The 18,237-nt window shown below is 41.3% G+C and overlaps 1 long non-coding RNA gene and 1 pseudogene across 3 annotated transcripts in view; one reads left to right on the top strand and one right to left on the bottom strand.

Annotated features, from left to right (window-relative positions):
* PDE4DIPP2 (PDE4DIP pseudogene 2) overlaps positions 1 to 13,848 on the bottom strand; it is a 195,809-nt pseudogene extending 181,961 nt beyond the window's left edge. For both annotated transcript variants that reach the window (NR_144517.1, NR_144516.1), the window contains exon 1: positions 13,475 to 13,848. The product of NR_144517.1 is annotated as a PDE4DIP pseudogene 2, transcript variant 2 (transcript). The remainder of the gene's footprint in view (positions 1 to 13,474) is intronic.
* On the top strand, positions 13,733 to 16,478 carry LOC124904392 (uncharacterized). Its single transcript, XR_007066510.1, has 2 exons — positions 13,733 to 14,148; positions 16,334 to 16,478. It is a non-coding gene; the product is annotated as an uncharacterized LOC124904392 (long non-coding RNA).
* The last annotated feature ends 1,759 nt before the right edge of the window (positions 16,479 to 18,237 follow it).

The following is an 18,237-nucleotide window of genomic DNA, read 5'->3' on the forward strand; positions in this document are numbered from 1 at the left end:
AGGCCCTCTCTTCAGGCCAATCACATGTATTTAGTTTGTTCTGAGAACCACATAGTCTGGCCCTCCTACTTCATCACTAACCACCACCCTTGCTTAACATTTCTAAGCCTGAAGACCAGGGCCATCTCCCAGAGGCATTTTCTAGCTTTCAAGCTTCTTTATATATATATATATATATATATATATATATATATATATATATATATATATTATTATTATGAACAAAAATTCAGAAGGAGAAAAAACAATCTGCTATAGCAATACCTAGAGCGAAAACCTGGGCCTTCATTGCTATTTTTAGGGTTTTTATAATTCCATTTTGTAAACATTTATTGAGAAGTTGCTTTTATGCCAGGTACTGGAAATACAAAGGTGAAAAAGTATATATACCCTGTGGTTAAAGTACTCAGAATCTATTGAGGGAAGCAGGCACATGATTCAGAGAGATAATTATTAGAAAAATTAGATTTAACAGAGATTTCAGAACATAAATAAGATAGCAATTAATTTTGTCCTGGTGGGGAGTGGGCTGGGACAGGGTGGTTGGTGGAGGGGTCTAGGACATTTACAGAAAACAGATAACACTGAATCTAGGTCTTAAAGGATGGGTGTAAATACACAAGGAAACATAGCAAAGACCCAATTATAGGAAAATGAACGGTGTGTTCAGGGGGCTTTCATTTTGTTTTCCCCTTCCCAACCACCCCGCTCCATCTTCCCCCCACCCTGAGGAGCCCTAAACTGCCTCCTAGGACATCTTCCAACTTCCTGTTTACCTTTCCCCCTCCTCAAGCCTTCCTCCCCAAGCGCTCACCCTCAGGTGGGAATATGAAGGGAAGCCAAGGGTGAAATTGTTTCTTCATTTGCACCTCCCTCCTCAAACACTATAGCTTAGAAACCCCCAAAATGATTTAAAATAATGTCAGCAAGAAAGGGGCTAAGATTTGCACTATTGTGAAAATACCCATAGAAACAAACTAGAAAAGAACCCAGAGAAATGAAAAGTCTGGAGGTTTAGAGTGGCGGAAAATATACTGAGCATCCTCCCCCTTTTTTTCTTACTATTTTTGCCAAAAGGCTAATTCTTATTTTTAAAAAGTTTGAATAATCTATTTTTATTGAATTTACATTGCTCTTCCTAATTAATGACCTTGATAAAAGATGAACTATGGAAAGGATTCGGCTCGGTGTGGCCTCTCAAACAGTGAGGGGCATGTGGCATGACAGCAAGACTGCTGAAGTTTGCTCTTTCTTGGGGTCCTCACAGGAGTAGGCATTGAACCAAATGCAGATTCTGTTCCAATTCCCATATTCTTGGAGCTCATTTAACATGAGTTGCTGGTTTCTGTTTCAAATGAAATAAATTTTTCAAACGTTCCAAGATGCATTTTTCCTATTTTTAATTTACAGCTATATTCAACTGTGGCAAACACAAAAGGGTCAGAATGAGAAGAACTGTGGCCTATTTTTTAATATGGGAAGCTCTGGCCCTGACAGTTTATAAATGGTAAGATTTTAGAAATAGTGTCAACTTAAAAACAAAGACATCTACAGTTAACAATTTCTGGACTGCTGGTGCATAATTTTATAATTCCACAGGTTTTCTTGCACTGGAATTTTCCTCAATACTAATCTTGTATTAAATGAACATATTATTATCATGGACAACCATCACCACTCACCACCAATGCTGCCTCTGCAATTTACTGAATGCCTGATACTTTCTAGGCATCAGTTCATTCAGTCATCATAGAATCCTGTGAAGTACGTCATACAATCCCTGTTTACAGATGAGGAAACAAGGGGCCTGGAAGGATAAAGTAATTTGCCCAAGATCGCACAGCTAGTTGGTGTCAGAGCCTGAACTTGAAAACTGTCTATTTGACTCCAAACTTTTACTCTTCCCAATATGCCCTATTTCTAACCACACATTTACAGGGAACCTCCTTTGTACCTGCCTTGACTCCAGGGAACTCACCCCTGAGAAGCTGAGGTGAAAGGAAGGGTGGACGGTTTGCTGTGCTAATGAGATGGGATTTTTGTCTCAAACCCTGACACAAATTTGTTTCTTAGACTATCAACTTATCCCTGATGGGCACAGCTTACACTTGAGTATTTGAGTACTGGTGTAACAGATGCCATGTGACAAAATAATTAAAATCCCAAAACGGAAGTGGCTAGTGTGACTTTTTATATAGGTCCTATCGTGAAAAGTGAGTCATCCATCATTTTATACTTCTCTATCTCTAACCCACTTTTTTCAGAATATTTACATCTTTCTCCAACCCCTCCCGTGATAACACTTGGCATTGTCCCTACCCAAGGGAATAAACTGAAACGCGGGAAAGGTGGTGGAAACAGAAACAATCAAAGTGGAAAAGGCATTAGTGAACAAGCTCTGAGACTTCTCAGATGTTTTTTTTTCCTCTTGCCAAGGAGAGACACTGGATATATTTTCTATGTTCCAAATGTTGCCAAATACCCTCCCACAATGTGGCACCCGAATTGTAAAAGCACATATTCAAATGCAAATAGGGTAAAAGCCCCAGATGCAGAACGTTAAGACTATTATATAATACAGTGAAATTATCATTTTTTCTCATCTCAAGATCTGTCATTATAACCTCTGCAAGTGAGGATGCTTAATTGGCAAAGCTCCCAGAGGAGAGAGAGCATCACGGTGAGCCTCCTTCTGCATGCTGACTAAGTGTGGGCCGACTTGGCACCGATACAGAAACATCCACTTTATTCCAGTATAGGCTGCAATTACACCCTTCACTCAAAGTCTATTCACTGACAGTGACCATCACTCTGAGAGGCTGTTTTCTGGAGTGCTAAGTCCCCAATAGCTACAGTGAGCTACAAAATCATCGTGCATCCACAACAATTTCTTTAAGTTTCGGGATCTTTGTTTTGTTTTGTTTTTGGTCCAGCACTAAGTCTTCATCCTAAAGAAAATAAGGAAACTAACATTACTTTCTTGATGCTATCATCAAGGTTCAGAGAAACCCCTTAATAAGTAAGTAGTTATTTTTCCTCACTTTACCTTCTGAGGTCATCACATATCCAAATATCTAATAAATTTTCCTCTACCTCCCCTGCATCAGCCAAGACATAGGTATCACTCTTTCAAAAGAAGACATGAAAATAACCTGCTTTGGATTCAGTCACATTACCCCAGGGATGGTGTATGGTCTCTCCACCCACCTCTGAAACTTACCTTTTGCATTTTGCTTTTGGTCCTGGCAATGCACCCTACAATCCTCAGTTTTCATTAACAACTAATATCCACAAGGCACTGGAGTATATTGCAGTTGGCTCAATCTTTCTAGAGCCCTAGACTGAATGTTAAGAAACAGGTGATTTTTTCCCCTTTCCACCTACTTTTATATTCACATAATCTTTCAGTTTCTTTTCTTTACAATGTCTATTTTTGATGATTTTAAAAGAAGTACATGCCTCGTAGAAATTTTGGAAAAGAGAAAAGTGTACAGAGAAAAATAAAAATAATTTTTAAAATTCTACCACCTGAAGGCAACATTGATAAAGATTTTTATGTATTTAGTTGTTCTTCAGTTTATTTGCCTGTGTGAATTCTGCAAATGGAAATAATATTGAATATAACAGTTCTGCATCTTGCTTTTATTTACACTACGGAAATCAAAGGTTGTGAGGAATATATTTTTAGAGGAAGAGAAAGAGTCAGGGAAGGAGGAGCAGGAGAAAGAGGCAGGTGGGAGGAGGAGGAGAATTTCTCAGCAGCATTATAGACCTGTTGAGGATTAGCAAGAATGAATCTAGAGTCTTTCTTCTCAGTGCGGTTTTATAACATACTAAAACAACACTCATAGAATCCTCTAGGATTTTAAAATAAAATTGACTAAGGGTTACCAAGCCGGGAGATGGTTAAGGCAGTTAGAGATTCTAAAGCAGCGTTGAGAACACGATTCAAAGAGCTGACTCTGACGTCTAGGTTCAGTATGGAGGTGAATAAACAGCAGATGGCCTGGAAGATACAGAGAGTTGAGGAACTGGAATACATGACGCAGTAAACAACATTCAGAAAGAACGAGGAAGTGGGGGACTTGACCTGTGGTCAAGAAGTATAATTTCAGCATTAAGGATCCTAAGGGTGGAAAATCTGGAAGAAAGATGAGCTACAAAAGATGGCTGTGCTGATAGCATACTGAAGTGAATTCGAGTTAAGGCTATGTCAGGTCAAGGTATAACAGTGATGTATGTCCATGCCTAGTGACCCCTCTAGAATGTCAGTCTCTGGAAGGGAGGGTTTTTAGATCATTCACTATCGTCTGTCCAGCATTAAAGAAGTCTAGATCATAGGAATTTGATGCGTATTTCTTTTTTTTTCTTTTCCCGTAACTGAGGAAACAAGACACATATTTCTTAAACAATGATAAATACAATCTGAATGTATAATGGTGTCAAGTTTGATAACCTGTTGTATCCATTCTACAATAAGGAGACACCCACCAAACAGATATTCCCATCGGCCTTTTGGGGAATGTTCTCTGGAAAGCTCTTAATAGATGACCTTCTAAGTGCTAGAGGCAATGTTAGATGCTGAAGACTTATAGACAAAAACGTTTCATTCTGCCGATAAACTTGGAGTATGGAAAATATCAAGTTAACCAACTAGCTACATGCTACAACAGAGTAGGCAGAGCGTGTTCTGGCTACACCCAGATCTAGGTTCTAAAAATAATTCCTAAAGGAGGTACTTCTGAATCTAACCTCTGAAGGGTATACAAATTTATCCCAGCAAAGGCAAGGCTAGATGTGTAGGTGGGAACAACTGGTATATTAAGGCCCACTCATAATAATTTTAGCTCAGGGTAAATTAAGTCGCAATGACTCTCCAACCAGCTCCCCGGGTCTGCTGGCAATAATGCTGCTCCTGTGGTGCCAATAACCTGAAAATCTCCAAGTAATACAAGAAAGTTATACACAGAAAACCTCCAAGTGATACACAGAAAAACCTAAAACCAACTCAATTCCAAACTTTACATGTTGTCATTTGGTAGACACAAATGTGAACTTCTTCCTGCAATAAAAACCTATGTTGACTTAGTTTAAAAGCAGCATATAAAGGATGTTGCCCATAATCCCCTAACCAAACACGGCATCTATTTTCTCTTTTCTCTGTCCTTGTAATAGACATCCTAATAGGTATACATAGTTTTGATGTAATTTACACCTATCTTTTACTTTCTTATGTTAAAATTTTCTGTTTATTATCATTTCAGGAAACGTTTCAGGATAGTAATAGAGATTAACAGCAACAGTGAAGCATTTTACCCCAGAGAAGGGTAAAAGTTGGAAATGTTGCTATTGATTCACCTAGGTTATGCCACTTTAATGTCAGTGTGCCTCAGTTTTCCCCTTTACAATACAGGGATTCAGGTCTTGAAAAAGATATTTAAATTGAATGCAATATCCTTCTTATGGGACTATAACTTTAAGTAATTTGCAGTGTACTTTCAAGAACTGGAAATGTTGACGTAGTTATTCTACTTCTGAACATCTCTCATTCAAAAAATAATGCTGTGGAAGAAGATGCTTTATGCACCTAGACATTTATCAAGTATTATTTATAATAGTTAAAAATTGGAAGTCTACATCCTTTGGGTTAGGCGTAATGATTTAAAAGACACTGTAAATCCACAGCATGTTATTCTACATTATGAATGATAATATACCACATTATGAAGTGGAAAATAAATTCATTCTTAAATTGTGTGAAATGCTAGAAATTATTCAATTTTCTTTGTGAGTCAATGCTTTCTAGTTTTTTTGTTTTTTTTGTTTTTTTTTTTTTTTTTCCGACAGAGTCTTGCTCTGTCACCCAGGCTGGAGTGCAGTGGTGTGATCTCGGCTCACTGCAACCTCCACTTCCTGGGTTCAAGCAATTCTCATTCCTCGGCCTCCCGATTAGCTGGGATTACAGGCACCCCCCACCATGCCCACTAATTTTTGTATCTTTAGTAGAGATGGGGTTTCAACATGTTGGCCAGGCTGGTCTCGAACTCCTGACCTCAAGTGATCCTCCTGCCTTGGCCTCCCAAAGTGCTGGGATTACAGGCGAGAGCCACTGTGCCTGGCCAGTGAATGCTTTCTGTATGTCAGAAGTTATTGCTTCTTTCCACCCTTTCCACCATGACCATGATAAGAAGACACTAGTTGCAAGTTACCTCTTCCCTCACTGGCCTTGGAAAAGACAAGAAAGAAAGACGTTTCTGTGGAATGTAACAAGCAGAAAAGGACTGAAGATAATGAGACAGATTAAGGAAAGATGAATCACAGGCTGTGAAACTGCTATGAAAATAAAACAGTATTATTATACAATTCATTATAAATAGTCTATGACTAATTTAGCACTTTAGCCATAAGCGTTCAGAAAAAAGAAATTCAGATCATGCTTGTCTTGCTGGCCACAGAACTCAGAAAATGCTCTGAGGCAGAGGAAAACAAGTCCTCAGTGCATTTGAGTGTTTTAAAATAGAATCACATAGAGCCACCTTGGGTCAATATGACATCTCTTGTATTCTGGACTTTCTTCTAACTTTAAATGCTATTTGAATTTTTGCCAGAGACAACTTGTGGAATGTTCTGAGCCCAGTTTGGAATTTTATTTACAAAATGGGGTAGATTTCAATAGAAGTAGTGTCCTGGGGCATCCACTGAATGGATGGATGCTCCACTTAGCCTTGAAAATATGATCCCTCAGCCACAGTCAGGCGAGCCCCCCAGGATGGGGAGGGCACCATGAGGTGTTACTTATCCTTTCTGAGACAAAAACAACCCCTTCCCAGTCTTTAGGTATTTTAAACATAGTCTTAGCATGTAGCTGAAAAAATGGGGGTTGGGGGAGTCAGGTCCAGACTGATCTAGTATGTGGAAAATAAGCAAGTAGGAGTGAAAGCATTGATTCTGGCAAATTCCCCAAGCCGAAATCCAAGTATAGGCCCATTTAAAAGTAGACTGGAGTTGCCAAGGCAGAATTTCCTTCTTAAAATTCAGATAATTAGTTGCTAGCAGTGCTGAATATTAAACAGGAAATTCAACTTCCAAAGATGTTTCAATAATAGAATTCTGAAAACAAGCATTTTCCTAATATGAAGTGTTACATGCAAAGCACCAGCACCATAATAAGTAAAGGTATTGGAATTAACTAGGCCTTCATACAACACATACTAGTTGTGTGAATGCCAGCAAATCATTTAACCACTTTAACCTCAGTGGCCATATATCTCTGGTTGTAACTATGTCTTTGTAAACAGGACTCTCTACTAACTCACCATAAATTCAGAGAAAAATAAATGTCCCTGATTCCTCTAGGCTAAACATTTATATAGAGAAAAACAAATTCAAATAAGCTATCAATGGAGATCTGTTAAGTACAATATAGCTGTGGTAAATGGACACCTTGTCTTGCTTGAAGGCTGTACTCCAGAAAAGAAACAAAGTCAAAAAAATTCTTAAATTTTGAAACCAGATCATTAATTTTCTTGAATGTTACTTCCATTTTCCAAATTTTCACAGATACAGCAAGCAAATGCAATTAATGCTTGCATTTTATTAAATCAAATTGCAGGGGAATAGAAAACAAAACAAAACAGACTAATTTGCTTTCCTTTTTTAACCTTCAGTCTTATAGTTTGCCCTTAAACATTTCTAGTTCACTCTTTTCTTGAGTTATGTGTTCGGGGAAGTTGTATAAGGTTCATATATGATTCACCTGATGTTTACTCAGCTTTCTCATATGCTAGAAACCAGAACATTTCCACTGAAATGGGGAAGATAATTAGTAATGACTTTTTCAGCATTGAACGATGTGGTAGGCTAAAATAATGGCCTTATAAGAATGTCCACATTCCTAATCCCCAGATCCTGTGTATATGCCACTTTCCATAGCAAGAGAGGGCTTTGCAGATGTGACTAAAGATTTTGAGATGAGGAGATTATCCTGGATTATCTGGTTGGGTCCAATGTAATCATAAGGGTCCTAGTAAGAGGGACACTGGAGGGTCAGAATGATCAAAGGAGATGTGATGATAGAAGCAGAGGCCAGTGATGGCATTGCTGGAAGGGGCTATGAACCCAGAATGTGGGCAGTCTCTAGAAGCCATGAAGGGCAAGGAACAAATTCTCCTTTAGAGCCTCTAGAAGGAGCACAGTCCTGCTGATACCTTGGTTTTAACCTAGAAGACCAAATTTCAGACTTCTGACCTCCAGAACTTTAAGGCAATACATTTGTACTGTTTTAAGCCACTAAGTTTGTGGTGATTTGGCTGGGCGCAGTGGCTCACATCTGTAATCCCAGCACTTTGGGAGGCCAAGGTGGGTGGATCACTTGAGGTCAGGAGTTTGAGACCAGCCAGGCCAACATGGTGAAACCCCGTCTCTACTAAAAATACAAAAATTAGCTGAGTGTGGTGCCATGTGCCTGTAATCCCAGCTACTTGGGAGGCTGAGGCAGGAGAATCCCTTGAACCTGGGAGGCGGAGGTTGCAGTGAGCCAAGATTGCACCACTGCACGCTAGCCTGGGCAACAGAGTGAGACTCCATCTCAAAAAAAAAAAAAAAAAAAAGTTTGTGGTGATTTGTTACACCAGCAATAGGAAATTAATACAAACAGTAATCCTGAAGTACTGATAATCTTTAAAGCAGAAGGTGTAGGGAGTTGCTAGTCCAGACAGGTGGATGTTAAAAATTTAGAGCAGTAGAAGCTGTTTGCCTGGTTGACACTGGACCTGCCGGGTGAGAAAACCTCCCCTCATCATCAAGTTCTTCATCAGCTCCATGAGCTTATTCTTTTGACAACTCTCGCCCTGTTCACGGAAATAAATCTGAAAGCTGGTGACCAAATCAGCTTTTTGTAATGCCAGTATATTCATAGAAAATTTGCTATTCCAGAGCCAACCATGCTCTGTCCAAATGATTTAACCAGTGAGTTTGGCAACAGTCAGGTAACAGCCCCAGCGGGTAGGGGGAACCTTTCCATTGAGCTGTAGAGGGGCAGATGATGTGTAGCTGGGAGTAGAGCATATCTAACTTTGAGAACTAAAATATCAAGCACCTTGTCCTTTGTGGGTAAATTGAGCAAGTAGCTAGCTTCAGAAACAAGTCATAAACTGAGTCACCTACAAAACTCTACTAAAATAAAGTAAAAGCATAGATTTTGGAATTAAACGGTTCAAGGCTATATTTCTTTCTCAGCTGTGTGTGTCACTCTGGGAAAATTATTTAATCTTTCTGAAGCTCAATTTCCTTTTCTTAGAAATGAGTATAACATTTACTTCATAGGGTTGTAAGGATTAGGTGAATTAAGTATTCAAAGAGATTAGCACACAATTAAAGCTTAATAAATGTTATCAATTATGGTTAATTTTTATTCTTTCAATCCCCTATCCACTGTGTACCCAGAGCAGCCAATGCGTATCTCTGCCTTAGTGTCTCTCTATTAAAATTAGAGATGATGAGAATGTAAAGCCATTAAAGGCAGAGACCCAGTCTCATTCATTGCATTCATTGTTTTATTCTTACCATCTAGCACAGCGTCTGACCTGTTTGGGGCTCTCAAAATTTATTTATTTATTTATTTATTTTTGAGACAGAGTCTCACTGTGTCACCCAGGCTGGAGTGCAGTGGTATAATCTCAGCTCACTGCAACATCCGCCTCCCGGGTTCAAGGGATTCTCCTGCCTCAGGCTCCTAAGTAGCTGGGACTACAGGTGCAGACACCACACCTGGCTAATTTTTGTATTTTTAGTGGAGATGGGGTTTCAGCACGTTGGCCAGACTGGTCTCGAACTTCTGACCTCAAGTCATCCACCTGCCTTGGCCTCTCAAACTGTTGAGACTACAGGCGTGAGCCATTTCATCCGGCCCTCAAATTTTTAATAAGTGTTTATGAACAAATCTGATCTGTGAGTTAGGAAGGATCTGAGATGTCAGCCATAATCTGTGATTATAGGATTTTTCCAACTGTGACCCATTAGGTGGAGAAATAAATTCAGTGAATCAGAGCCAACATTTTATTTTTAAAGAAAAAGAATAGAATAGCAAATATCAGAGTGCAAAACACATAGTAAAGTTAAGTATTGTTACAAGAAACTTTGTTACATATGTAAGTGTACTTGGTGGCAATGTAAATATATTACTTATTGTGAGTAGTGGTTAAAAAATATGTGAACATTCTGAATGTTCCACCTTGCCAGCATTTGCTACTTTCTATCTTTTTAATTTCAGCCATTCTGATATGTATATAGCAGCATGGTGTTGTGGTTCTAATTTGCATTTCCCTGATAACTAGTGATGTGGAGCACCTTTTCACTATGTTCTTCCCTTTGGATACCCTCTTTTTTTTTTTTTTTTTTTTTTTTTTTTTTTTTTTTTGAGATGTAGGCTCGCTCTGTCACCCAGGCTGGAGTGCAGTGGCGCGATCTCGGCTCACTGCAAGCTCCGCCTCTCAGGTTCAGGCCATTCTCCTGCCTCAGCCTCCCGAGTAGCTGGGACTACAGGTGCCTGCAACCACGCCCGGCTAATTTTTTGTATTTTTAGTAGAGACGGGGTTTCACCGTGTTAGCCAGGACTATCTCGATCTCCTGACCCCGTGATCCGCCCGCCTCGGCCTCCCAAAGTGCTGGGATTACAGGCGTGAGCCACCGCGCCTGGCCTGGATACCCGCTTTAGAAATCTCTTTTGTAATCTGTTTAAAAAAAAAACAATCTGGCAGTATTTACTAAATCTGAACATGCATTTCCTATTACGCAGAAATCATACTTCTACTTATTTACTCAACAGAAATGTGTACATATGTTCACCAAAAGACCTGTACAGAAATGTTCATAGCAACACTGTTTATAATAGCTCCAAACTGGAAATTGCCCAAGTGCCTATTAAGAATACAATGGACAAATAAATTTGATATATTTATACACTATAGAAGCCTATTTAAAAGCAAGAATAAATGGACTACAGTACCATATAACAGTATAGAACTCCAAAAGCAAAAGATTGAGTGAAAGGAGCCACGTACGAAAGAGTACATGGTGTATAATTTCATTTACATAAAGTTCAAAACTAGGCAAAATTATTCTATGGTGTTAAAAATTAGGATAATGATTATCCTTGAAGTCATCAGGAGGGCTTCAGGGATGCTGGTAATGTTCCCTTTCTCTATCTGAATGCCCATCCCATGAGTATACTCAGTTTGTCAAATTAATTGGACTGTAAATATATAATTTGCGATTTTTCCAAATCATTTCTGAATTTGTCTGAAATTGTTACATGTAAATATAAAATTTTTAAAACTTAATAAATAATACTTTTTTCTTCAAGTGTGAAAAACACTGGCAGAGAGCAAAAGGCCCTGATACACTCACTCCCATCACCATCAAGTGGTCATCTAGCCTTTGCCTGAGTAACTCCAGGGTCAACAATCTCTTTACTGCCCATACTGCCCAGGCAGCTAACTTGTTAGAAAGCTTTTTTTTAATTTTTTTTTGAGACGGAGTCTCGCTCTGTAGCCCAGGCTGGAGTGCAGTGGCGCGATCTCGGCTCACTGCAAGCTCCGCTTCCCGGGTTCACGCCATTCTCCTATCTCAGCCTCCCAAGTAGCTGGGACTACAGGTGCCCGCCACCACGCCCGGCTAATTTTTTTTGTGTTTTTAGTAGAGACGGGGCTTCACTGTGTTAGCCAGGATGGTCTCAATCTCCTGACCTCGTAATCCGCCCCCCTCAGCCTCCCAAAGTACTGCGATTACAGGCATGAGCCACCTCGCCCGGTCTTTTTTTTTTTTTTGAGGCGGAGTTTCGCTTTTGTTGCCCAGGCTGGAGTGCAATGGCGTGATCTCGGCTCACCACAAACTTCTCCTCCCGGGTTCAAGCGATTCTCCTGCCTCAGCCTCCGGAGTAGCTGGGATTACAGGCATGTGCGACCACGCCCGGCTAATTTTGTATTTTAGTAGAGATGGGGTTTCTCCATGTTGGTCAGGCTGGTCTCGAACTCCCGACCTCAGGTGATCCGCCTGCCTCAGCCTCCCAAAGTGCTGGGATTACAGGCATGAGCCACTGCACCTGGCCAGAAAGCTTTTTCTTTACACTGAGCCATAACTCGCCTCCCAACAACTCGCTTGCATCGGTTGTTCTGTCCTCCTAAGAGATTCTAATGTGATTCAATCCCTCTACCACCAATAGCTCTTCGGAAATTTGAAGGAAGCTACCACATCCTCCCCACTCCCAGTCGTCATTTCTCCGGACTCAGGAGTCCCAGGTCCTTCCTTTGGCCATCCCTCAAGGCATGGCTTTGAGTTCCCTCCTGTCTCTTGATTGTACTTATTTTATCTAATGATGCCCAGAACTAAGCACAGCCCTCTCGGAGAGGCCCAAGAGGAGCAGAAAGGAGCCAAAAGTAAAATCATCACTTTTGATCTAGACAGAATCTAGACAGCCTACTTCTTCTGTCAACAAACCCTAAGCTTCAATTTGCTCCTTCTTTAATATTCACATTATACCATTCACTCCTGTTGAGCTTAGCAATCAACTAAAACACCCAAGTCTTTTGCATAAGCCCCAAATTTACCTTCTGTGTTTGTACGGTCTTCACTCTCTCAGGAGTCAGAGCGCTCATTTGGCCCCACCCCAATTCTCCAAAGCTAAATCCCACAGATGGAAGCGTATCTGTTATAGAGACACCGCTGGAATAGTCTCCCTACCCTCCCACCCACTAAAAAACAGAAACGAAGTCTTTGTCTCAATACATGGTCTCTTATCCTTACCCTTTCCTTGAATGGGGCTTCATTTTAAAGTGTGTTTGGGGGAAGGACTGGAAGAAAACGCAGTTTCACAGGCCATCTCCAAAATCTGACCTAAAAGCCAACTGTTGCCCGGCCTCAATAAAGCCTGAGCAGTGTGGTGCCCTGATCTCTTTCCTTCTCCATTCCTCCCCCAAGTGGGCTCCAACTGGAGGTTGTGGAGATGAGTGCTGCTGGGCTCTGCTCACTCAGTCCCTTTGCCTTTGTGTGAGTAGTGACAGATGAGGCTGAGAAGGAAAACGTGGCAGGGTGAGAATAAACCTGATATTGTTCAAAGCATCTGACATCAAACATATCTCTCAGGAAGACCTACTGGAATCCCTCTAGCCACACGAACAAGGAAACGACAGAGAACCATTTCTACAGAAAGTTCCAGGCGGCCTCCCTGGGTATTTTTAACATCAGGACTCGGTGGAGGGGAGAGTCATTAAGCAAGGGAAACCCCGTAAAACAGAACATGTGAAAATGACCAAGAGAGGTGGGCTGGGAACCAGGCAGGGCGAGGCTACAGAAAAGGGAAGCTGTCACGGGACCCTGGTGGTGAGGGGCGACCTCTCTCTCCCTAAGGGCTCTGGGGGAGGGGAGGGAGGAGGACCACCAAGTCTGGAGTGCGGCGAGAAGGAAACAGCCCACCTACCTCGTCCAGGTCTGCTCCATTTTCCAGGCTCTTTCCTTAGTCTCAGGACGCTCCTCACCCGGGAGGGGAAGCAGCCTGGGAAAATGAGAAGCCTTGCCCACGAATCTCCAGCGCAAAAGGCAGCAGCTTTTTCCTCCCCAGCTCCTTTCTGCGTCGGCGGCGAAGAGAGAGCTCTGCTCCCTGCTTTTTTAGAAAATGGATTTGACGTGGCCGAACCTGCGGCTAGCCGTGAGACCCGCACGAGGGAGGGACTGTTCTCAGTAGGAGGCTGGACTCGGAGCGGCGCGGCGCCCGGGGCTGTTTCGTGAGCTGGAGCCAGCGGCTGCCCGGGCGGCGGTGCGCGCACTCTCCAGGCTGAGACACGACTGGCTGGCACGAGTTGCTCGGCACCAGCTGAGCTGTCAACCGCGAGCGGAGGCGGGGCTCCCGACAACCAGTGTGCTGGGGCACAATCGGCCCAGGTTGCACGCCCCCTGAACCACCCTCGCGTCTCCCCGACCCCTCTCTCGCTGGCTCAGATGAATGATGACGGCAGAGGGCAGAGAGCTTAGAGGACGCCGTACCAAGCCCCGTCCCTCGCCCATCCCAACGAAGGTCTTAGAATACAATCAACCAACTACAGGAAGAATTTGTAGAGGAGGTTTTCTTGTGTGTCTGCATCGCCCCACCCACAGGTAACCCCAGAGCCAGAGATGGAGTCTAGGAAGGTTTAGGAGCAATCCCGGCTGAATGCAGACGTATACCCTACGTGGTCATGGAACACGATGTTGTCTTCCTAGAGATGTGACATGACAGTTTCACCATTAATCCAGGGACAGGACCCTTCATCAGGAAGGGAAGCATCCCAACAAAACCTTACAGCCCTATTAGCTGCCTGTATCCCAGACATCTCCTGTTTTAGGGTATTCTACCTCCTCGTTTTTCAGTTTCGCCAGCAACTGGGCTCTACCAATAGCTTCAAGGAGGGAGAAGCTTCCTGACTCCCAGAACACTAGAAAAGCCTCAAGACAGTAGCCATCAGGACCTAGACACTCCCTTGTGACTGTTTTAAGATCATGGAAAAGGCCTCTTTGGAGATGGCATTGCCTCAGGCCCTGTACCATGTACTTATGTATCAAGATTTAAACAAGGCAGACATACTATAATTAGAGTGCTTGCCACCCTGAAGCTCCTTTTTAGCTTTCAAATAAGACCGTTTTATTAAATGACATAATCACTGTTATTATTAGCACTATCACTGACCTTTTTTTTATTTGAAAAAGGCTTTATAGTGCCCACATGTGGCAATGTTAATTTCGTTGTACTTGTTTCAGAGATGATAAATTTGAGACCCCAAAAGGCCCAAAGTCTCTGCTAAGGTTCTGATACAGGCTGTGTTCTCCATTGGGTGGCCCCAGAGATATGTTCCCTGAATTTCTAAAGCTACGACCCACAAGACTTCTCCAGGATGAATTTATTCTTTCAGGCCTCCTAGGCATTTAACTCAGGAAGAACCTGGCATGCCTGGGTATTGGTGAGACTGTGGGGAGTCTGTGTTCTTGGGGGAACCTGTCATCTGTCTGTTATCTCTTGGATTGGTTCCCCTACATACTAGTACAAAGTAGGGGTGGGGAGGGGAGGATAACAAAACATTTGAAGGTTTAGCAGAACTGTCTAAAAAGCCCCTAGTCTAGACTCCTCCAACACTTGATTTATTGGTAGGACCACACTGCTCCAGAGCTCAAAATGTTACCAGGAAAAATTTCAAGGTCCAGTTTGATCTTAGACAAGGCTCACAGGCCACCTGTCTTGAAAAGAATATCCTGTTGCCTCTGATGGGGGGGAAGAAAAGGCAGGGAGAGTCAGATTCCCATCCTTCATACCAAAGTTGGGGCTATATTTAGCTTTGTCTCAAATCAAATGATGGGCTACCGAGTTGTGGAGAGGAACTCTGTCTACAGGCAGCTCACTGGATTCAAGAAATGATAGCACTAACTAGGTGAGCTGTGGGGTCTCAGAAGTGACGCTAGAAAATACGTTCATGTATTTTTAAAATAACTTTTTTCAAAAGTTTATAGCACATTCATTGTAAAAACATTTGAAAAATACAGAAAGTTATATAGATTACTCAGAATACCCAGGGATCTTCAATATTAAAAATGTGTTGCATTTTTTTCCCACTCTTTAAAAAATGCATCTTTTAATCCAAACACCAACTCTTTCTTACACACATGGGTATATTCTTGAGAAGAGAAATTTCCTTGTTGTTTTAAAAATTATACTTATTGTCAAAAGAACAATCTTTTTGCGTTAGATTTCAGAAGAAAAATATTCACCCATATAACCACTGCTACAGCACAAATGTTTAAATTTCTCCAAATTCCCTTTAGTCGTTATCTATATATATTAAATATCTATTTACATAATTACGATTACAGCTTAGGTATATGTTTATATTCTCCTTCTTTCACTTAGTAAATATTTGTCCATGTTTTTAGGGAAAGTTCATAGTTATTATTCTAATGAGTGTACAATATTTTATAATATTAGTAGGACCATAGATTACTTAAAATATTCTACTATTGCATAGTTATGCTGTTTCTGATATTAGACTGTTATAAATAATGCCTTAATGAAGAGCTTTCTGCCTTTATCATTCTCCTTTTTTGAATTATGCTATGGTTGAATGTATGTATGCCTTCAAAATTCATACATTGGTACTTAATACCGAGTGTTATAGTACTACAGGGTGGGGCCTTTTAGGAATATGTCTTAGGAAGTGATAAGGCATGAACACTCCACTCTCATGAATGGGATTAGTGCTCTTAAAAAAGAGGTTGAAAGGATTGCTCTGGTCCCTTTTGTCCTCTGTCCCTCCAGCCATGTGAGGACACAGCATCTGTGGCAACAAGGAGCCATCTTGGGAGCAGAGAGCAAGCTCTTCCAGACACTGAATCTGCCAGCACCTTGATCTTGGTCCAGCCTTCAGAACTGTGAGAAATAAATTTCTATTATTCACAAATTACCCAGTCTAAGCTATTTTGCTATAGCAGCAGGAATGGACTAAAGACGATTTTCCTGGGATAAAAGGACTTTCTAATTTTATTATCTTAGCCTCAAAAGCACTAGAAATTCTCCTTTTATTTTTTTTCTTATTTAATTTGTAAATAATTGGATAGTTATATTTTAGTTCTATATCCAGCTAGTATACAAATAATGTAACACCATCTCATTTTGCTTTACATTTCTTAGAATACTAGCTAGTAAGGTCTTATTTCATATCCTTTCTTGGAAACCATATGTGTAGTAGCCAGTCTCATGAAATCCTTGTGTTGAGTCACTGTATTAGTCATCTTTTTGCTGAAACAATGCTGCTCAACAAAGAACTCCCCAATCTCAGTATTATACAACACACATCCATTTCTCCCTCAAGGATCTATAGTTTAGGTATGGATTGGTTTAAGTCTGTCGTTTTCATGGCAGAGTGCAGGAGTGCAAGAGAGTTGGCAGAGACTCATGATGACTGGTCTCTGCTCAGAACTGGCACAGTCTCGCTTCTGCCATTTTCCGTTCACCAAAGTAAGTAACATGGCCAAGTCCAAAGTCATTGGTGCAGAAAAGTACAGTCTGCCCACAGAGTGCAGGAGGGGAGAGTAATATTTGTGGAACAATAATGCAATCCACCAGTCACTGTATGTGCTGCTTTCTTGCTTTTTGTTAAGCTTTTCTCCTTGTAGATACATGGTAACTTTATTCTTCCTCATCCCATTTTAACTTAGTTATGACTTTTGAACAGTGAAATGTAACTTGTTTCGTTGGCTGAAACGTGAGAGGAAGTCTCATGTGGTCACTTCTGGGAAGAACGCAGACATTTTTAAGAGCTAGTACATAATTGGCCCTTTTCAGTTTCTGCTGTTTTATTGATCCTTGAAGATCAATAAGATGAAGCTTTCATCAACCTAAGTCCCTGAGTTACTGTGATGGTCAGAGCCTTCCTGCTAACCCTAATTGAACATGTAGAATGAGCAAGAAATTCATTTTTGTTGTATTAAGTTACTGAGATTTGGAGATTATTTATTACTGGAGCATAATCTAGCCTATCCTAACACATTGCTTTTTATTTCCATTTGGCAACCAAGTATTGTTATGTGTGTGTCTGCTCTCAGTTTTCTGGCTTAGAACTCAAATAACCGGCCGGGCGCGGTGGCTCACGCCTGTAATCCCAGCACTTTGGGAGGCCGAGGCGGGCGGATCACGAGGTCAGCAGATCGAGACCATCCTGGCTAACACGGTGAAACCCCGTCTCTACTAAAAATACAAAAAATTAGCCGGGCGAGGTGGCGGGCGCCTATAGTCCCAACTACACGGGAGGTTGAGGCAGGAGAATGGCGTGAACCTGGGAGGCGGAGCCTGCAGCGAGCCGAGATCGCGCCACTGCACTCCAACCTGGGCGACAGCGAGATTCCGTCTCAAAAAATAAATAAATAAATAAAAAGAACTCAAATAACCTGGGTAAATGATGTTGATAAATTAAACTATTCATTTTATTCTTTCCTGAGGGCACTGCTCTTAGTTTGGTCAACTGATTGTGCTTCAGGGAATACCTGAATTGATGATAAGGGACAAAAAATCGGAAGGTGTCACAGTCTTTACAGTCAGCTCCAAATATTCCAATGATACTTTTACCTTTCATTCAGTTTTTAAAATTCATTTTCCTTTTCTTCTCTCCAACTTGTTTCTGGGTAAAAAGGATTATTGATGTTGATATAGTTTACTGCATAATC

Source organism: Homo sapiens, chromosome 1, assembly GCF_000001405.40.
Source record: "Homo sapiens chromosome 1, GRCh38.p14 Primary Assembly".
NCBI classification, from domain to species: Eukaryota; Metazoa; Chordata; class Mammalia; order Primates; family Hominidae; genus Homo; species Homo sapiens.